Source organism: Homo sapiens, chromosome 10 (genome assembly GCF_000001405.40).
Source record: "Homo sapiens chromosome 10, GRCh38.p14 Primary Assembly".
NCBI lineage: Eukaryota > Metazoa > Chordata > Mammalia > Primates > Hominidae > Homo > Homo sapiens.
Window position 1 is genome coordinate 78465881 of NC_000010.11, and position 21952 is coordinate 78487832.

Consider the following 21952-nt stretch of genomic DNA (forward strand, 5'->3'; position numbering starts at 1 on the left):
TCCCTGGGGAGTTAGGTGCTGTCTGGATGACCACTACAGCCGCTTCTTCCCAAATTGATAGTGCTCAAGCTTTGGTGGTGCAGGTGACAGACAGGCCTTCTCTCTTATTCTAGGTGATGAGATGAGAGGACAGCTGTTCTCCCCTCACTCAAGGTAGCACTCTGAGGTGTCCAGGAGGCGATCCACAAATCATCCCACTGAGTGTGCTTACAGCCGGTTTCTCCCACCTCAGCCCTGCTGCGAGGAAGGACTAAGAAAAACAGCCTGCATGGGCCGGGCTTGGATTTCAAGTTCTCAGGTCATTTCTTCACCCATGATGCGCCTTTACTTCTCTCTTTTCCTCCTGAGTCACCACTTTGTGGCCACGGAGACAATCAGGCAAGGCTTCTTGGAGGAGGTGGTGATCGTGTTGGGCTTTGAAGGATAGGAAGGATTTCCGCCGGGCGCGATGGCTCATGCCTGTAATCCCAGCACTTTGGGAGGCTGAGGCGGGCAGATCACGAGGTCAGGAGATCAAGGCCATCCTGGCTAACATGGTGAAACCCCACCTCTACTAAAAATACAAAAAATTAGCCGGGCATGATGGTGGGTGCCTGTAGTCCCAGCAACTCGGGAGGCTGAGGCAGGAGAATGGCATGAACCCGGGAGGCGGAGCTTGCAGTGAGCTGAGATTGTGCCACTGCACTCCAGCCTGGGTGACAGAGCAAGACTCCGTCTCAAAAAAAAAAAAAAAAAAAAAAAAAGGATTTCAACAGGGATGGTAATATTATCATTCCTATTTTACAGATAAAGAAGCAACAGCTAAGAAAACTTAACTGGCTTATCCAACATCACACTTGGTTAGTAAATAATACAGTGAAGATGCCAATCCAGGTGTCCTAATACCGCACCTTATGTTTTTCCTACTGTAAAGAGTCTCTTCATTTCCTTACCACTCCAGAGAATGGCAGGGTTTAGAGGCTGTAGTGAGACATGGACCCTTTCTGTGTGGTGGGCTGATTTATATATTCGTATATTCCCATGGCCCAAGGGTGCTGCACTGTGTAACCCAAGGGGGCCACTACATGAAGGCCAATCCCCTGGAGTTGGGTAGTGCACTACATGAAGGCCAATCCCCTGGAGTTGGGTAGTGCACAACTTGAACATCTGTACCTGGAAGCCTTACCGGTATAGGTTACATGTACACAATACATGTCCAATATGTATTATTTTGAATGAATGAATAATGTGCATGAAGAACAATTTGTTGAAGAACAACAACAAAAAACCTGTATGGGACTATGTTTTATAACTGTTGTTAGGCAGTTGATTCTGTCAGTTGCCAGTGACAGAATCCTAATTCAAATTGGTTTCGGACACAAGAGAATTTATTATTTTGAGTAACTAAAATGTCTAGGTCCCGGAGGTACAGCCAACTTCAGGCATGGCTGGGAGCAAGGGCCCATAGGATGTTGACAGAAATCTGTTTCAGTCTCTAGACTCTGCTTGCCTTTGTGATGGTTTCATTTTCCCGAAAGATCTCCCCACGAGGTTGCAAAGATGGCCTCTAGCAGCTCCAAGCTTGCAGGAACTCTGGCAATAAATGAGCTTTTTTTCCAGTAATCCCAGCAGAAGTTCTGGCTCAAGGCTCATTGGACCACTGTGATTGATATGCCCACCTGTGAACCAGTCACAGAGGTGGAGGTTAGATGATGTTAGAGGTACAATAAATTGATTGGCAGACCTGGGGCTTGGTGGAGGAGGGGGGGCATGGAGTGCCCTAAACCACATGGACGGAAGGCGGAAGAGGTGTGTTCCCTAAAGAAAACTGAGATTCTATTACCAGAAGCAGGGAGAATGGATGTTGGACAGGAAAAACAACAGATGTCCCCTTCTGTGGCAGAATGCTTTTGTCAAATAAAATCTTTCTTGGAAGCCAGACATGCAAACCAAATACAAACAGGGCTGTCCTGGGGATGCCAGTGTGGGGAAGAGACATTCGGAGGGATCATTGCTTCCCGAACATAGCCTGTGCATTTTTTTTTCACTTTTTATTTATTTATTTATTTATTTATTTATTTATTTATGTATTTATTTTATTGATCATTCTTGGGTGTTTCTCGCAGAGGGGGATTTGGCAGGGTCATAGGACAATAGTGGAGGGAAGGTCAGCAGATAAACAAGTGAACAAAGGTCTCTGGTTTTCCTAGGCAGAGGACCCTGCGGCCTTCCGCAGTGTTTGTGTCCCTGGGTACTTGAGATTAGGGAGTGGTGATGACTCTTAAGGAGCACGCTGCCTTCAAGCATCTGTTTAACAAAGCACATCTTGCACCGCCCTTAATCCATTTAACCCTGAGTGGACACAGCACATGTTTCAGAGAGCGCAGGGTTGGGGGTAAGGTCACAGATCAACAGGATAAGAATTTTTCTTAGTACAGAACAAAATGAAAAGTCTCCCACGTCTACCTCTTTCTACACAGACACGGCAACCATCCGATTTCTCAATCTTTTCCCCACCTTTCCCCCCTTTCTATTCCACAAAACCGCCATAGTAATCATGGCCCGTTCTCAATGAGCTGTTGGGTACACCTCCCAGATGGGGTGGTGGCCGGGCAGAGGGGCTCCTCACTTCCCAGTAGGGGCGGCCGGGCAGAGGCGCCCCTCACCTCCCGGGCAGGGCGGCTGGCCGGGCGGGGGCCTGACCCCCCCCACCTCCCTCCCGGACGGGGCGGCTGGCCAGGCGGGGCGGCTGACCCCCCCACCTCCCTCCCGGACGGGGCGGCTGGCCGGGCAGAGGGGCTCCTCCCTTCCCAGTAGGGGCGGCCGGGCAGAGGCGCCCCTCACCTCCCGGACGGGGCGGCTGGCCGGGCGGGGGGCTGACCCCCCCACCTCCCTCCCGGACGGGGCGGCTGGCCTGGCGGGGGCTGACCCCTACCTCCCTCCCGGACGGGGTGGCAGCTGGGTGGAGACGCTCCTCACTTCCCAGATGGGGTGGCTGCCGGGCGGAGGGGCTCCTCACTTCTCAGACGGGGCGGCTGCCGGGCAGAGGGGCTCCTCACTTCTCAGACTGGGCGGTTGCCAGGTGGAGGGTCTCCTCACTTCTCAGACAGGGCGGCCGGGCAGAGACACTCCTCACCTCCCAGACGGGGTCGCGGCCGGGTAGAGGCACTCCTCACATCCCAGATGGGGCGGTGGGGCAGAGGCGCTCCCCACATCTCAGACGATGGGCGGCCGGGCAGAGACGCTCCTCACTTCCTAGATGGGATGGCGGCCGGGAAGAGGCGCTCCTCACTTCCTAGTTGGGATGGCGGCCGGGCAGAGATGCTCCTCACTTTCCAGACTGGGCAGCCAGGCAGAGGGGCTCCTCACTTCCCAGACGATGGGCGGCCAGGCAGAGACGCTCCTCACTTCCCAGACGGGGTGGCGGCCGGGCAGAGGCTGCAATCTCGGCACTTTGGGAGGCCAAGGCAGGCGGCTGGGAGGTGGAGGTTGTAGCCAGCCGAGATCACGCCACTGCACTCCAGCCTGGGCACCATTGAGCACTGAGTGAACCAGACTCCATCTGCAATCCCGGCACCTCAGGAGGCCAAGGCTGGCAGATCACTCGCGGTTAGGAGCTGGAGACCAGCCCGGCCAACACGGTGAAACCCCGTCTCCACCAAAAAAATACGAAAACCAGTCAGGCGTGGCGGCACGCGCCTGCAGTCGCAGGCACTCGGTAGGCTGAGGCAGGAGAATCAGGCAGGGAGGTTGCAGTGAGCCGAGATGGCAGCAGTACAGTCCAGCTTCGGCTCGGCATCAGAGGGAGACTGTGGAAAGAGAGGGAGAGGGAGACCGTGGGGAGAGGGAGAGGGAGAGGGCAGGGAGAGGGAGAGGGAGAGGGCAGGGAGAGGGAGAGGGAGAGGGAAGCCTGTGCATTTTTAATGCCACATTTCTGAAAAAGCTGTCCCCTCATTTGGCAATATATGTCCTCCTCTAATTTACTTGCCTCTTTACCGTAAATTAAATATATACTGTAGCTCTTCCTACTTTCCTCTTCCCCAGCACAGGGTTTTCTAAAGGGTATAACACAGGCATTGTTCTTCTGAAATGCTCTGAAACACTTTGCATGATCAAGTATGTTTCGAAAACATTCCACTTCTCTTGGTGAACTAGAAAGCTTGTTAGCATTTTAAAGGCTCTGAAAAGTCCTGCAGTCATCTGCTGAGCTTCATTCAACTCAGGGTTTTCCTAAAGCAATTATCCACAAAATCTGCTTTTCCCTTCACCAAGCACTGAAGGATTTGGAATTTTCTGGGAGACATTGCCAGGGAACATTGCACCTGGCATGTTTTTCTGTGCTCACTGGTTTTATGGGTATAGAAAGAGTATTTCCTCCTTCCAGACCAAAGTCTCCTCTGGGCATCCAGACCCTCACTGGGCCTTGGTGAACAAGGTTTTGCTTGAACAAATGATGGGCAAATGTGGGAGTTAATACTGTGCCCTTGGAAATGATGGGAGAGCTCTTGACTTGGCTCCCATTCTTTTCAGCCCCCAGCCTGGCTGCCACTCGTGCCTTGTCCTGGCTGGCCAGTGAGTACTTTTCTCATACCCCACCCATTTCACAGATGAGGAAAGTGAGGCCCCACAGACAGGTGCTAGATGAGGAGACTCAGTGCCTCTCTTGCAGAATGTAGGGATTTTTGTAAAGCAGGGAGAGTATGGGTTTGCATTCCAGCAGGCCTGGCTTGGCATCCTGGTTTATCCACTTACCAGCTGTGTAACTTAAGGCTGCTTACCTCTCCTCTCTGAACTTCATTTTTTCTCATGTTTACAACAGAGAGACTAATGATGGTTGAAGGAGAGCCAGTGAGTAACACAGCTAATGGATGCCTGGCTGCACGCCAGGCTTGGATAGGTAGGGTGATTTGGATGGCATGCCCATGCACTGTTGTTTACCCCCTCAGCCTGTCAGCCTTGAGTAAGCTCAGCTCAGTGCACCACAGGAAGGCGTAATTGGCCATTGGTTCGATCCAGGTCAAGTCCTTTGATAGCACACTCCAATACAAAGCCACCCATGGACAGAGAGCTGTCTGAGTGGGGCCACAGCTGACGAACTCTCAGCCACATCCTCTACAAAACCACCCAGCTGCAGCCAGAGAGAGGCACTCCCTTAGTCCCCTGCAGGTAGCAAAGGGATGAGTTTTATAAGACTACAGGAGGATGGGCAGGGAGTCGGGCCTGGCTCGGCCAGAACTAACTGCTTCTGTGGGCTTGGACATGGGTCTTGCCCTATCTGGGCCTCTGTTTCCTCTTCTGTTAACCTGGGGCACTGGACTTACATTCTGTTTCTTCCCCTTTCAGTCCTAGAATCTGATCTTGCTTCTGTGATTTCGAGAGGTCAGGAAGCGACAGTTTGATGGACATTCTGAAGGCCTTGGGTTCTCATCCCAGCTCTGTGACCTTGGGCATTTATGCATGAATTTACTGTCATGCCAGGTGCTGGAGATACTAAAAAGGACAAGACAGGATCATCACTGCAGCATCAGTGAGCCCCCTGGGGGAGGAGATGTGCAAATGGCCACCCTGTGGGGTGGAGGGCGGCACTAGGCACCAGAGGAGTCATGTGGTGGGCCTGGAAGGCCGGGCCGGACTGGTCAGGGAAGGCTTTGCGGACACCTCGGGGAGCCGACACCTAGAGGAGGTGGTGGAGGTGTGGGGGCCAGAGGAAGTCGCTCCAGGCTGAAGGCACAGCTTGTGCAGAGGATGGTGGCATGGAAGGGCCCAGTGTGTGTCGTTATCCCCTCTGCTCCTGGGACCCCAGGAGCTCCTTCCTGGGCTTATGTTCTGTGGCATGTGAATTGTGGGGGCTTGGATGTGGAATGAGGTGCTCCCCAGCCCTGAGCTGACAGGGAGTGTGGTGTGGTTGCGCAGATGGGGTTCTGGGACGAAAGTTCCTGAGCACAAATCCCAGCCCTGTGAATTTCTAGCTGCCAGGCTCTGAGTGCATCACCTCCCAGGCGGTGCCCTCAATTTCTCCTCTGCCTGGTGGGGATGTCGGTGGTGTCTGGTTTATAGCATCGAGCAAGTTAAGCTTACAGAGCACTTAGAGCCATTTCTGGAAGGCAGTAAATGCTCAATAAACATTAACTGCCCCTCCCTATTTTAAAAATGAAGAAAAATGAAGGTCTGAGGGAGTCAGCAAGCTGTCTAGAGAGACATAGCCCAGATGCTTGCAGGTCCAGCCTTGCCCTCCCTCCCCTCCACTTCCCTCACTGTCTCTCACTTTTCCCTCCCTTCCTCTCTCCTTTCTTTCCTCCCTCCCTCTAACTCTTGCACTTCATCCCCTCAACTCCCCCAGCCAACTTCTGAAAGGCCTCCAAATGCCTGGGACCTGCTGCAAAGCTCTTTGATCTGACCAGACCGCCGGCGCCTCTGGCTGCTTGGCACCCTGAGTGAACCCTCTGCCCCCCACTTTGGGGCCTGTGCTGAGGCCTAGGGCAGAGTCTGGGCCTGGTATCTATTCTACCACCCCTCCAACCACTCCCTGCCTGTCCTCTGCCCCCATGCTCCAGACCGCTTCCGGAGGGAAAGCAGCACCTGGGATCTGTCTTCAGAGACAAGCAGCTTCCAGGCCTCCCCACAGGGTAGACTGATATTGGCTCCCTCCCACTGAAAATGAATGGCTGTCACACAGCCGGGTCACCCCAGAACCCCAGCGACTGTGGGCTTCCTGCCCACCCATGGGAGGCTCTTTGGGGCCAGTTTCTGAGCCTGGTAAACACAAGCCTCCTCTCCCTCCTCCACGGAGAGCTGAGAACAATTGCCCACTCTGAACCTGAAAGCCGGTGGAGGCCCGCTCTAATGAGTGTGCAGCTTTCGCTGCCCTCAGAAATCAGGCGCTGGCTCTGGGCACTCGGCAGCCAGATGATTGAAAGCCCAGTAGGGCTCCCAGCCCTCCCCCACCCCCACTCTCTTTTTTGTGTGTTGTCTGCATCACTGCCCAGACCAATCTCTCTTCATGCTGAATTTTTTAAAGCCAAATTGGAAAAAAATTGGAAGTAGCCTGCATGCTATTCCCCCTGGGCTCCAAATGGGCTCTCCAGTTAGGGGAACAAAATACACCATTTTAATTTATAATAATAATAATTATTATTATCATTATCCATAACAATAACAATACCAATAATCCCATGCATGGGTAGGCCAATGTACAGCGCATAAAGTGCTTTTCCAGCTGTGATTTCATTTGGGCCTCGCCCCCCTGTGAACCTGCTCCCGCCCCACCCCCCCCACCCCCTTTGTCTGTAATCCGAGCAGGCCAATTGCCTGGTGACTCTCAGCTGGGGTGGGAAGGCCAGCCTCAGGCTCCCAGGCCCTGCTTTTCCCATGTCCTCTCGAAGGGATCACATTAGCAACACATTTTTTAGCAGACATGGCAGAGCACCTGCTCCGGGAAGGGGGCCGGACCTGTCAGGAGAAGACAGGACTTTGCAGTCACTGGCCTCCAGTGAGATGATAGAGAAAGGCCAGATAATCTCAACTCCACACTATAAGGGCTATGCATGGCCTTTGGGAGACTCTGGGCTCAAAAGTTGAAGTCAGCTTGAGGAACGCCTCAAAAGCCATTTCATCAAATGTGGATCACATTACAGACATCACAGTTTCAACTTGTCATTGAATCGTAACATACGTACAGAAAAATACAAAAAGCATGAGGGTACAACTCAATTACTTTTCTCAAACAGAACACACTCATATAAGCAGCCCAAGACTAAGAAATGGAAGCCCCCCTTATTCTCCCTTCTAATCACTCCTCCCAACCAGGGTGACCACCATCCCAACATGAAACAACATAGATTAATGCTGCTGCTTTTTGTATTTGTATGACTGGAATCATCCACACTATGCAATCTTTTGTGTCTGGTTTCTTTTGTTCGATGTTATGATGTGATATTCACTATCATTGGATACTGTTGCAGATTTTTCATTTCACTGCTCTGTGATATTTCACTGTATGAAGATAGTGAAATTTAGGTATCCATTTATCGTGGTGAACATTTGGATGGTTTCAAGTTTTCAGTTATTATGAATAAAGCTGTTTATGAACATTCTTGTACATGCTGGTTTTTTTTGTACTTGTGTACACATTTCTGATGAGCAAAAACTGAGGTGTGGAAACATGGAATCATTGCATATGAGTAAGTACATGCAGCTTTAGGAGCTATTGACAAACAGTTTCCCAAAGTGGTTGCACCAGTTTATATTACTGGTTTTTAGGGTCTATGTGGCAGTACCTCCAATTCCATGAATCTATAGATCCTTGGATGATCTGATGGAAGCTGCAGAATTTCGCCCCAGAAATACAATTCTGCATGTGATTTCTGTAAATTTATGAGCCCTGTGAACTCAACCAGGTCCAAGGATTCCTATGAGGTCTCTTTTTCTGATCTCCAAATTCTGAGGTATGTTGTCCACATTTTGATTCTGGGTTTTAAATTCTTTGACTGGATGGAAGACTTAGAACTTAACAGGGCTGGGTGCGGTGGCTCGTGCCTGTAATACCAACACTTTGGGAGGCCAAGGTGGGCAGGTCACCCTGAGGTCAGGAGTTTAAGACCAGCCTGGCCAACATGGCAAAACCCCGTCTCTACTAAAAATACAAAAAATTAGCCGTGTGTGGTGGCACGCGCCTATAGTCCCAGCTACTCAGGAGGCTGAGGTAGGACAATCGCTTGAATCTGGGAGGCAGAGGTTGCAGTGAACTGAGATCGTACCTTTGCACCCCAGCCTGGTGACAGAGTGAGAAAAGAAAAAAAAAAAAAAAAAGAACTTAACAGAGCACCAGCAAAGCAGGGGCACCAAAAACAAAACAATTTTAAAGAAAAATATTTTTGAAAGAATTTTATAATTTCACAGAAAGCATGGACATATTCGTCAAAGGAAAACTTATGATGTTGTTGGATGTCCTTACACATACCTAACAGATTAGAGTTAATTCACTTTACGTTATATATGGGAGGCACATAATCTTTTCAAGGCAAAGTGCTTTTAAATGCCTTCACCTGGCCCTGGTGATCCCATCAGTGATGCATAAATTGCATCTGGTCAGTGATTACCCCATGCTGCACTGGGGCATCTGTGCAGTGAGGGGTCCCTGGCTGCTAAGGGCTCCCTGTCCCATTGGATCCTCACTACAACCCTGCCAGGTGGCTGGGCTGTGTGTCACCAAGCACATGGGCAACACAGCTTACTGTAAGGGAAATGAGGGCCAAATGGGTCAGTCATCGAGAAGCCTCTGCAGGTGAGTGGTGGCTGTAGGAACTGGGCTTCTGGTTTAAGAACAGGGACGTGGAAGGTGTGGGAGTGGAAAGGTGCCTCCATCTTTCTGCAAAGCAGCACAGATGAAGAGGGAGCTCACTGAAGGATAGTGCTGGGATGGATGGTAGAAACTCTATGAAGATAGGTTTCTGTTTGATGTGAGAAAACATCCAAGTGTTCAACTGTGTAATGATGGAAGCCGAGTGTTTGAGGGGTAGTGAGATCCTTGTCCCTAGAAGCATGTAAGCTGATGCTGGATGGTCACTTGACGGGGACGTTGATGAACTAAACGATCTAGGTTTCCTTCAACCCTAAGCTTGGCCATCCTCAGAATCTAGGTCTCCTGACCCTACCACATGCTCTTTCCTCCTCGCCGCTGACCTGATGGAGTGCAGTTTGCACAGTGCACTGGCCCAGCCTGGGCAGCAGGCAGGAGCCTGCATGAAATAACGTATGCTGCAGTCAGAGTGACAGAGTGTCTGTAGAAAGCATTCAAGATCTCCCAGGAGCTGTGACTCGTATGAGCAGGTCTCTGTGGATTCAGGCAAATATTTTCCATTTCATAAAATGTGGTACAATGTTACCTCTGTGTTCTTTGAAAAACTGGCATGGGGGAGGAAGTGTTAACTCAATGGCCTTGTTCCCTGAGCGCTGGTGGCCGCCTGCCTTGGCAGTTTCCTTGGGGCCTCCCACCCCACTGGGCCCCATCATGGGAGAGCTGGATGAGCCCACTGCTGCTGGTCCATGGTCAGGGGTGGGTGCAGACGATCCCTGACCACCTGAAGGAGAAATAGAATGCAGAGCATGACTGGAACCCTAGGAAGGAAGAACTCTGTTCTGTTACCATTTCTGCTATGGCCCCCTCAGCCATGCCCCTCCCTTCATCATCATTCCCTCTGCCCTCTGCCGGGACTAGTGCAGTAGTCTCTTCCCGGAGCTCACCTCCTCCAGTCTCTCCTTATTCTGAGCCAAGAATGCCACATGCTTGGCATGGGTAACATGATGCCCACTCCCTTGCCCCTACAGACTTTACCATCAGTCTCAGGACTCCTCGCAGAGAGCCTCTAATAAATGATTAATTCACCTGAGTGGGCAGTGACGGGGAAACTGATTTGCCAAATGTATCTCCTCCATGCTTTTGACAGAGCACCCTTTCAAAGAACAGAGCAGAGCTCAGATGACATCATTCCTCCCTGCCTCCCCGCCTCCTACTTCTCATCAGAAGCACGCACGAAAATAGCTTTCCATGTTTCTCATGGTGCTTCATAGCGAAGGCCAAACTCAACTGTGTGGCACTGGAAGCTTGTGTCAATTTGATCTGGTTGTGGAATCTTTTCTTCCACACAGCTTGCGATGCTTGCTCAGTTTTCTTTTGGAAGATATGAAGAACGGTCACACTATCCCATCTGACCCCATCCAAATGCCCTGTGCTTCAAAGGCCAAAGACATGCTGTGTTGTCCCATCTCTCAGTGATCGCCCAGGTTGTGCCCTGGCCTGGAGTGTCTGTCCCACATTCCCCAGCATACAGAGATGTCTGGGCTTAGGGGGATGCCCTTTTCAGCTTTCAGTGTTGTTTGCTGCATGGACCTTGCTGATCTTGAAATAGGCTCTGAGCCTCAGAGTTTTCCACAAATGTCCAGTTCCTGCCCCTGCCCCTGCCCCAGATCAAGGGTAATTGTGGAGGGCTCTGTGGTCCAGGAGCCCAAGAAGGCCCTTACAGCACAGCCTCTTCCTGCCAATCCAGCCTTGCTGCAAGGTCCAGATAAGCCCCTTATGTGGGAGCTTGAGCAGAGATCCCAGTTTGTGTTTAATAGAGCAGCTACAGTCAAGCTTGTGATCTGCAGGTGTTAGAACACTCATTGGAGTCTCACTAGCACAGTGGACGGCTCTCATTAGGGTGTCATTAGCTAGCTGCCTCATTTGCACGTTCAGATCAGGCTCAGGCTTCATGACAGCAAGGGCTATAAAAGGACCAGCAGGGCTGTGAAGACCGCTGCACATACTTTAGTCTTGAGGGGGGCCACACAGGGGTCGGTGATAAGGGCAGAATTAGAGCCCTACGATGATCACACAGCACACGCCAACACAGTCTCCCGGTTGCTCACTCCGGACACCCTGGGAGATCCCCGTGGTCTGCTTTCTCTTCTCCTTCATATCAAACCCAACCATCCTCTGTCAGTTCCTTTTCCCCAGTGCATCCGCGTTTGGTTTTCTTCCCTTCGTGCTGGTGTCACCGCATAGCCAGCTGGCGGCACAGATTCCCACTTGCCTCCATGGGCCTGGGTCTCCACTCCAGCAGGCTGTATGAGCTCTCAACGCATGGACTGGATTGTGTCATCCCCTGCTAAACTCTTCAATGACTTCCTGTTGAACTTGGAAGGATGTCCAGATTGCTTCCCATGGGGCTTGCATCCATGTTCTAGCGTGTCCCACCTCCACTGGCCCCCAACGCTCCAGCCACTCTGTTCTGGGACACTCAGCATGCCCCTACCTGGGCTCTGTGCTTGTTCTTCCCTCTGCCTGGGTCACACGCCTCCCAAATCTTGCGTGGATGTTTCCTTGTCATTCAAGATAAGGGCTGGTGGGTCTTGATGCCTGCTGTTTGCATGCATGCGTGTGCCCCTGTGTGCAAGCCTGTGGGATTGGGGTGGGCAAGAGAAGAGCAAGGAATGGTGGTGCTGGAGGAGAGAGCCCAGGCTGCGGATAAGAACACACAGCAAATACCTGGTGAAAAGGAAGCCATGCTGAAAGGCGGGCTGTGTGGTTGGATGGACTTGGCTTCCAGCCCTCATTTCAGCCCTAAATGGCTGTGGGACCTCAGCCAAATTACTTTCTCCTCCAAGCCTCAGTTTCTCCATCTGGAATAATGAGATCCTCATCACAGCTATTCTTCAGGGCCATTGTGAAGGCAGCAATAACTTAGATGAAGGATTGCAGGCAGTGCCTGGCATAGCATCAGGACTTAATAAATAGTAATGTTTTAATTTTAAGTAGAAATCAATGTAACAGAGAGACATGAGCTGGGACACAGAAGACTAGCATTCGTGCTTCTGACTGCTGTGTGACCTTATGTAGCCAGCTGCCCCTCTCTGACTTCTGCCACCACCAACAGCCACAATTTGGAGGGAATGGGTATGTTTTCTCTCACCGAATCTTTCTGGAAAGTGGGGCCAGAACAGCTCTCAGTATCACAAGAGGACCACAGAAGATTCATACTAGGGTTCCAGACTTAGGCTGGGAGACTGGACAGCCTTTGTGGTGAAGACACACATGATAAGAAGTATTATTTGGGGGACATCGACTATGAATTGTGCATGGTGCCAGGAGTTTTATACAAGATATAAAATCCTTATGTCTGTCCTGCTAATTAGGTGTGCTCTTCCTTATTTTACCAATGAGCAAAATGCCAAGACTGGTGATTTGCCAAAAGCCATTAAGATAGCAATTGGAAGCATTGCTAACCGACTTTAAGATTTAAAGTCTATTTTCTTTCCAGAAACCACAATATAGAAGTGTCCCCTAAAGCTTTCTTTTTTTTCTTTCAATTCTTTTGGGAATATATGAAGCTTGCTTGCTGATATGGTAGCCCCTAGCCAGGTGTGGCTGGTCACATTATAGTAACTAAAATGAAATAAGAGAACAAATTCAGTTCCTCTGTCTTACCAGCTGCATCTCAAGTGCTCAATAGCCACATGTAGCTAGTAGCTGCCATATTGGAAGGTGAGGATATGCAACAATTCCATCGTCACAGCAAGTCTTATTGGACAATGCTGCCCCAAAGATAAGAGAGCAGCATGCTCTATCTATGAAAGGCCGGGACCTTGACTGGGGACTTTAATGAATGGCACAGGTGGTTGCACACCACTGGATGTAGATTATGGTGCTCAGGGGCAAGCAAAGCTCACCATGGGGCAGGGAGATGAGTTTGCCTTTAGAGGTGCAGGAATGACTCCTTTCCCAAGCTACCTACTGCTCTGGTCTTACGTGTTCTCTGGAGTTCTGGAGTAGCACTGTGTTAAACTGCTTGCTTCTCGGAGCGTGGCTCACCAACAAATAATATCAACAAACCTGGAAGTTCATTGGAAATGCAGAATCTCAGATCCCACCCCAGATCTGCTGAATCACAGTCTGCATTTTGAAGAAATTCCCCACGTGACTCGTGTGCCCATTGCGTTTGAGAAGCAGGGGGCTACACCACACTCTACAATGTTTACTATGGCATTTAGTGTCAACTCTTCCAGGAGATGTCTTCTAAGTTCTATGAAATCTGTGTATCTAGAACCATCCGGTCGGCCACAAGGCTCTGGTGGGGAAGCATTTTCTTTAGAGTGTAACACAGGTCATTTTTTAATTTCTTTTAGATTGTACATATCTAAGATCAAAGCTAGAACCTTAGAGATAATCTAGCCCCAAATATTCATCTCAGAGATGGAGAAACAACCTCAAAGAAGAAAAGCAGCTTATCCAAGATCATACAGCAGTGCTGGAGCCTACACCACGTGACAAGGTACAGCGTTTCAGTGACACATCATACTGGACAAGAGAAAAGCACAGTGGTATAGTGGGAGGACCTGGAACTGATGTCCTTTAATGCCAAATGTGGGGAGCGTCTATTATTGTCCCAACCCTGTCCAAGGAAGTGCTACTGGTCACCATGGTTGCCATTTACTGGGCACTCACTGTGTACCAGGCACTTTCCTGGGTGTTTGCGCTTGTTATTTCATTGCGTCCTCATGACAGTTCTCTGATGTAGGCATTGTTACTTTCTCCTCTTTAAAGATGAAGATGAGGAAACTGTGGTATAGCAAGGTTAAGGAGCTCACCCAACATCACACAGATAGCAGACAGTGGAGCCAGAATTCAAACCCAGGACATCAGGCTCCAGAGCCCATGCTCCTCCCTCCCCTGTACACTGTAGAGAATTCAGAGGTGAAGCAGTTCCCTGGACACCTGAGGCTGCACAAGGCAAGGGAAAGGCTACTGTGGACACTCAGTCATCTACCCCAGATGTTCTACTTGGAAGTAAAGACAGAATCCCCAAAACGCTCATTTTAGAACACATGCTGTTAGGAAATAACATGTAGAATCATTGGCTTTAGAACTTGGATTTTAGAACGTGAGATAAATTGTGGTGAGATGAGAGGAACAGTTATCATCTTAACACCAGAGGCAAAAGTTTATCTTAGGGAGAGAACCATGTTTGTTTAAGAAAAAAGGTGGTAAATTGCTTGATTGAGGGAGGTAAAACCTTAAGAACATGAGTGGGAAAGAGAGGAAGACACAAAAATAAGCTAAACTAGTGCACGGGAAAAGGATGATCAGATATTTGAGTGTTGGGCAGAGAAGAGAGGAGAGAAGAAACAAAGGTGAGAGGAGGCAAAGCAATATATTTCCTGAAAAGATCAAGGCACTCTTTTAAAAGCAGTATCTAATATATGATTGCTTTATTTTTTATTTTTTGCATTAGTTTGATATCCTGACATCCTACACACTTTTTTCCTCTTAATTTCAGTCATGTCTGCTTTGTACCAAAGGGGGCTTGTGTGTGTGTGTGTGGGTGTGTATACACTCATACGTGCCCATGTGCATGTGCACACTGATGTGTATCAAGTATCAAGGGAGGGTGTTTAATTTCTCTCTAGGTGGGGCTGTGGCAATATCCATACCGAGTCTAATTAAAGGGAAGCAAAATCTTCCATGCGGATATGACTAACAAAAATGTCGGCCACCAGTGGTGAGCATTTGTTGTTTTTGCCTGCCCATTCATTGATTAATTCTTCCAAGAAATATTTACTGAGCAACTATTATGTGGTAGGTAATAGATGAGGTCAGGGCAGGACAAAAGGTGGGGGGCAGGTGGTATAGGGCTTTGTGTAGTTTCACCAAGACTTGTTCCTGGGTGAATTGAAGAACTGCTGCTGCATTTTGAGCAGAGGAGGGAGCTGATTCTGTAGTTGTCAAGGATCTTCCTGAATCCTAGGATGATAATAGATTGTGAGGGAGGTGAGAGAGGTGGCAAACGGACCAATTAGGAGGCTACTGCTATAGTCCTAGCAACCCTTGAAGCTGAGTTGGATGGGAGTAGCAGTAGAGACAGTGAGGATTTCTGTTACGAAATGTGAAGGAGGAAGTTGGCATAGAGGTCTGGAATTAAGGGAGAAAAGTTCAGATGGAAATATGAATTTGGGAATCATCAACCTATAGGTGGAATTTAAAGCCCTAAGATAAGGCCCTTTCTCAACCCCATCTCTGAGATTTTCAAGGTAATGAGAGTAGATTGAGAATAAAAGAGACTAAGGACAGAGCTCTGGAGGATTTCATTCAGCCTTTTGTTCACACCACTCAACTGAAACCACTTTGTTAAGGTCACCAATGATCTTGCTAAATCTAAAGGCCCTTTGTCAGTACTCATAGTATTTGGCCCACGTTTGAATAAAGTTTGTTTCGTATGCAAACCAGAGAGTCATGATTAATACACCCTTCCTTCAGAATTCCTAGAGATATTAGGATAAATGCATGGGACCCTGTATGTGTGAAAAAATTTCTGTCAAATTTATTTGGATCTCAAAGGACAGCAGGCCACCTCATCTGATTTCAGGGACACAAACAAATCATATAACTTAACATATACAATGGGGGAGAATTAGGCTATAACATTTTGAAGTCTTGAGCCTGGATGATGCAAAGGAATGCTTGAGATCACTGTGTTTTATTAATTTCAAATTTCAATATTCATTGCTGGTATATAAGACAGCAATTGAGTTTTGCATATTGACTTTGTGTCCTGCGACTTTACTGTACTCACTTATTTGTTCTGGGAGTTTTTTGTAGCTCATTTGGGGTATTCTACATAGACAATCATGTCATCTGTGAATAAAGGAAGTTTAATTTCTTCTGTCGCATTTCTTTTTCTTGTCTTATTAAACCAGATAGACCAGTACAATAAATAAATAATAAACAAGATTATTATCTTATTAAACCAGATAGGATCAGTACAATAAATAAATAAACCAGTACAATATTGAGTAGGACTGCTGACAAAGAACATTCTTATCTTGTTCCAAATCTTAGGAAGAACGTGTACATTATTAAATATGATGTTTGTTATTAAGTTTTTTTTAGATGTTCTTTATGAAGTTTAGAAATTTTTGCCAATATTTCTAGTTTGCTAGTTATAGTTTCTAGTTTGCTAGGAATTTTTTTCAAATCATGAATGGGTGTTAAATTTTGTAAAATGCTTTTTGTATCAATTAATATGCTGTAAATGTTCTTCTTTAGCCTGTTGATATGGTTAATAAATTACATGGAGTGATCTTTTAAATACTGAAGCAGCCTTGCATACTTGAATTACTTGGTTGTGGCATGTACTTCTTTTTATACATTGTTGGCTCTGATTTGCTAATATTATGTGGATTTCCACACATAATATTTGTGAAACATATTGGTCTGTAGTTTTCTTTACTTATAATGTATTTATCTGGTTTTGGTACTGGAGTAATGCTAGCCTGTAGAATGAGTTAGGAAGTGTTCCATCTGCTTTTATTTTCAGGAAGAGATTGTAGACGATTGGTATTACTTCTTCATTAAGTGTTTGGTAGAATTAACCAGTAAAACCCTCTGGGCTTGGAGCTTACTTATTTGGAAAGATTTAATTTCTTTAATAAATAGAGGGCTCTTCAGGTTATCTGTTTCTCTTTATGTGCATTTTGGTAATTTATGTCTTTAAACAATTTGCCGATTTCATCTAAGTTATTAAATTTGTGGGCATAGAGGTGTTTTTGAAATTGTTCCTACTATCCTTTTAATGTCCATGGGATCAGTAGTGATAGACCTTCTTTCATTTCTCATGTTGGTAATTCATGTCTTCTGTCTTTTATTCTCAGTTAGCCTGGCTATAGGTTTATTAATATTACTGATTTTTTCAAAGAAAAAGCTTTTGGTTTTGTTGATTTTCTTTATTGCTTTTCTGTCTTCAATTTTATTGATTCTTGCTCTAATATTTATTATGTCATTTCTTCTGCTTACTTTAGGTTAAATTTGCTCTTTTTCTAGTTTTACAAGGCGGAAGCTTAGATTATTCATTTTAGATCTTTTTTCTTTTCTAATATATGCATTTAATGCCGTTTATTTCCCTCTAAGCACTGATTTCACTGCATTCCACAAATTTTGGTAAGTTGTATTTTCATTTTTATTTAGTTGAAAATGTGCTTTAAATTTCTCTTGAGAATTCTTCATTGACTCATGGATTATTTACAACTGAATTGTTTAATTTCTAAATACTTGGGGATGAGTCTACTGATTTTTGGGATGCACTGTGCACATTTCTAAAGTTCTCCAGAGCTGCCTTAGGGTTGCCTAAGGAGGAGATGCTGAAGCCTAGAGGAACAGGTCTGGCTGTGGCACTTCTGCCTTCACCTTGCTGCACGCAGAAATTCACAATGTCGACATGTTTTGTTAATTGGCTAGGTTATACTGTGGTGTGCTGGTAAGAACCTGCTGGTTAGCACAGCAGAGGCTTATTCCTGACTCCTGCCACTGGTCAATAGAGGGTTGTAGGGAGGCTCTGCTCCATGTAATCACTTTGGAACTCAGGCTAACAGCAATGTTGCCATCCTGAAGCTGCAGCATCTGGAGCATGTGGCCTTTTCCATGACCATGGCAGGGGAGGAAACAGCTGGAGGGGGCTCGCACACTGGCTATTCTAGCACTTAGTCCAGAACAGCTGTCACACCCACTGGTATCAGAGTCCTTTGGCCAGAAGTAGTCATGTGGTACTACCTAACTGCAAGGGAGCTGTCAAACGTAGAGGATTAGATGGAGTTTTTGGTAAACTCTACTGTCTCAACCACGATTGGTGTTCTCCCTAAGACTTCTTTGAAATGCAGTTTTGCTGCCCACTCCCCTTGTTGAGCAGACAAGAGTGCTATTTCAACATTCATTTCCAAGGAATAGATGAACCATGAGCACTTCACAACCCTTTGACCTTGCCTCAGGTCACATTCTCTCCATGTATATAACTCAGCACATATTAGCTGGAATTCTGGACTCCTCAGTATGAGACTTTAACAGGTAAGAAGGGTGAATAAGCCTCAAGTGCATGTGTGTTAGAAGCTTTATAAACCCCTTTTTCTGTCACATGCAGACAATTAGAGAAAGAAAATATGCAAAAAATGCTTTGGTGATTGCCAAGACTCAAAGGATTTGAGAGTAATTCCAATTCACATATATTTATTGCTCCATTGTTTTGCCAGGTATAGGAATATTTGTAAAAATGAAGAAGGTAACAGGAGGAATTGCTCAAGTTAGACTAAGATGCAGGATTCCTGAATTCGAGCAAATGACAACACAGTAGACAGTGGCTGCTGGCCATTACTATGTATTATTATTATTTTTTGAGACGGAGTCTCGTTCTGTTGCCCAGGCTGGAGTGCAGAGGTGCGATCTCAGCTCATGGCAAGCTCTGCCTCCTGGGTTCACGCCATTCTCCTGCCTCAACCTCCCAAGTAGCTGGGACTACAGGTGCCCGCCACCACACCTGGCTAATTTTTTTGTATTTTTAGTAGAGACGGGGTTTCACCGTGTTAGCCAGGATGGTCTCGATCTCCTGACCTCATGATCCACCCGCTTGGCCTCCCAAAGTGCTGGGATTACAGGCGTGAGCCACCGCCCCCGGCCTCTATGCATTATTAAGTGTAGCTGTTGAGGCGTTTTCCATCATGGGGGAAACATGCGTGGCATATGCAGGCTTTCATCTTTGCCCGTTCTGATCTTTTCTCTCTCTTTCCCTCCCTCTTTTGCTCTCTTTCTATATATAGTTTATCTGTGTGTCTCTGTGTGTGTGTGTGGGGGGGGTGCCAACCCCCTGTGCAGTAAAAAATGTGCATATAATTTTTACTCCCACACTACTTAACTCCTAATAGTCTACTGTCAACCAGAAGTCTTACCAATAACATAAACAGTTGATTAGCACATATTTTGCATTTTATTTGTATTATAGACTGTATTCTTACAATAAAGTAAACTTTAAAAAAGAAAATGTTATTAAGAAAACCATGGACAGGTGCGGTGGCTTACATCTGTAATCCCAGCACCTTGGGAGACTGAGGCAGGTGGATCACCCGAGATCAGGAGTTCGAGACCAGCCTGTCCCATATGGTGAAACCCCATCTCTACTGAAAAAAAAAAAATACAAAAAAATTAGCCAGGCCTGGTGGCGTACTTCTGTAGTCCCAGCAAATTGGGACGCTGAGACAGGAGAATGGCTTGAATCTGGGAGGCGGAGATTGCAGTGAGCCGAGATCACACCACTGCACTCCAGCCTGGGAGACAGAGCAGGACTCCATCTCAAAAAAAAAGAAAAGAAAAAGAAAATCATAAGCAAGGGAAAATATATTAGCCTATTCAACATGAAGACGATGACGATAAAGACCTTCATGATGATCCACTTCCACTTAATGAGTAGTAAAGAGGAGGGGTTGGTCTTCCTGTCTCAGGGGTAGTAGAGATGAGAGAAAATCCATGTATAAGTGAACCTGCACAGTTCAACCCCGTGTTGTCCAAGGGTCAACTGTATTTATACTAATATGTTCATAATATCTATTTTAGTTTTTATTGAAAGAGTAATTCAAATAGTCCTAAAAAGTATGTGATCAAAAGTAGGTTTCTGCTTTACACCTGGTCCCCAAGTCCTCCTCCCTAGAGGCAACAATTCTCATAAACTTCTTGGATGTACTTTCAGAAATAATCTATGAATGTGCTTACCAAAATAAATAGCACAACTTACTAAAACAAATAACATTCTTCTTCAACACCAGCAACAAACAATGAGATAAAATGATAGAAGATATCATAATTTTCACAATAGCCATGAAAACTATAAAATGTCTAAAATTTGGCCTAAAAATATTGCAGGATGACTTTATGGAGAAAAAGTTTAAAACCCTAGTGGAGTGTACAAGTGAACATACACAATTCTGTATGTGAGCCATATTCGTGGATTGAACAGCTTTATAGCTATGTCAATGCTCCTCAAATAAATCTATGCATTCAGTGCAATTCCAAATAAAAAATACTCATCACAAATTTTTGAGAAAGTTGGTAATATTACTCTAAAATTTATGTGAAAGAGTGTCATTATACAAAGAACTAAGTTTTGAGCAATTCTGAACACTAAAAACAAAGAGGTAGAATTTATCCTCCTGTGTAATAGGTACATTACAATGCTACGGTAATAGGAAGCAAAAATGTAGTGACATATTGTAGAACAGAGGAGTGAACAGAACAGAGGGCTCAGAGATAGACCCATGTATATGAAATTATACATGGTAAAGGTGTTTACAAATCAGAGGGCAGATTTTTGTTTACTGGAAGACTGTGGGAAAAATTATTATGTCAATAAAAACAAAATTGGATCTGTCTCACAGCATGAACAAAGGTGAGATCAAAATGAATTAAAAACTTAAATGCAAAAGATAAAATATAAATATATGTGGATGAAGAGACAGGCAAATATCTTTGTGTCTTTTGAGGAAGAGGAAGATGTTCTGAACAAGACTGAAAAAGCACAAGCCCCAAGGGAAAAATAATCCATGGATCTGATCAGATCAAAATCAAGGATTTCTATTCAATAAAGGTCACCATAGACAAAATTAACAAAACCTGAGAAGTAATGAATAGCAAGACTGTACAAGAAAATTTTTGCCTATGAGTGAGAAAAAGATAGGAAATACAAGAGGAAAAAATGGCCAAAGACTGTGAGTAGGCAGTGCACAAAGGGAGAGACCCAGGGGACAAAAAATTGTAGATCACTCTGCAATAGAGCAATACACGTTTGACCAAGGTGTGACTTCATTCACATTAGCTGGCCAAAAAATCAAAAGTTGGTGAACATCAGATTTGACCCAAAATGTAGAAAACTGGAAATTCTTATCCACTGTTCCGGGAACTGTAGATGGTCTGTTTGTACATATGAAAATTCGATGATCAGATACTCCATGATCCAGAATCTACTCTCACCTTCCTGTCAATCCTAGAAGCCATTCACTGAATCATGTTTGTGGGAGTAGAGGGATAGAGGCTATTTAGGGGTCTATGCTGGGGCCTTGAGTAAACTTATTAGAAAATGCTATGCAGCAGTTAGAAGCAAGAAAAAAAAATGCACATGGAGAAACATGATCCCATACAAAATCATGTTGAGTGAATAAAAATTATAGAATGAGATATGTAATATGCTAACTTTTATGCAAATTTAAAGCACATACAATCACAAAATTTACTACATAAAGAAGAGTGATACATCAGACACATTAGACGTGTTCCTACCATGGGAGGGGGAAAGGGAGTGAGAAACACGCATGGGGAAGAATAAACAAAACAAGAGAAGGCAGAATGGGAGAGTCTCCCAGAAATGGTCAAGTATGATCAACTCCAGCCTCTGCCCTAAAGAATAAGAAATCAATAAATAGATCAAGAATTCATTTTATTCCTTAAATTTTACCACAAAGTTGAGTTGTACTTTATTTGTTGACACATTACATTTCATAGACAATTGAATCTTCTTTAATTTTAGAGTTTACGTTTTCTTTTTATATTTAGGAAACTTTTTGCCAGGTGCCAAATATTTTCTTGTGCCTTTTGAAGACATGCTAGGATTGAGGCACGGACCTATACCAT

At 46.1% G+C, this 21952-nt stretch overlaps 2 long non-coding RNA genes across 2 annotated transcripts, besides 1 other annotated feature; one reads left to right on the forward strand and one right to left on the reverse strand.

Moving 5' to 3' along the window:
* Window positions 1-783: 783 nt before the first annotated feature.
* LOC105378378 (uncharacterized) lies at window positions 784-8077 on the forward strand. Its single transcript, XR_001747515.2, has 2 exons — window positions 784-839; window positions 5323-8077. It is a non-coding gene; the product is annotated as an uncharacterized LOC105378378 (long non-coding RNA).
* LOC107984246 (uncharacterized) lies at window positions 1350-3788 on the reverse strand. The gene is made up of 2 exons (XR_001747514.2): window positions 2915-3788; window positions 1350-1658 (listed from the first exon to the last, which is right to left on the reverse strand). It is a non-coding gene; the product is annotated as an uncharacterized LOC107984246 (long non-coding RNA).
* Window positions 6158-7115: an enhancer, noted in NCBI's record as "H3K4me1 hESC enhancer chr10:80231795-80232752 (GRCh37/hg19 assembly coordinates)". NCBI's record gives its function as "activates a minimal SCP1, AML or CMV promoter by ChIP-STARR-seq in primed H9 embryonic stem cells {active_cell/tissue: H9 hESC(primed)}" and the evidence as "EXISTENCE:reporter gene assay evidence [ECO:0000049][PMID:30033119]".
* Window positions 8078-21952: the final 13875 nt, after the last annotated feature.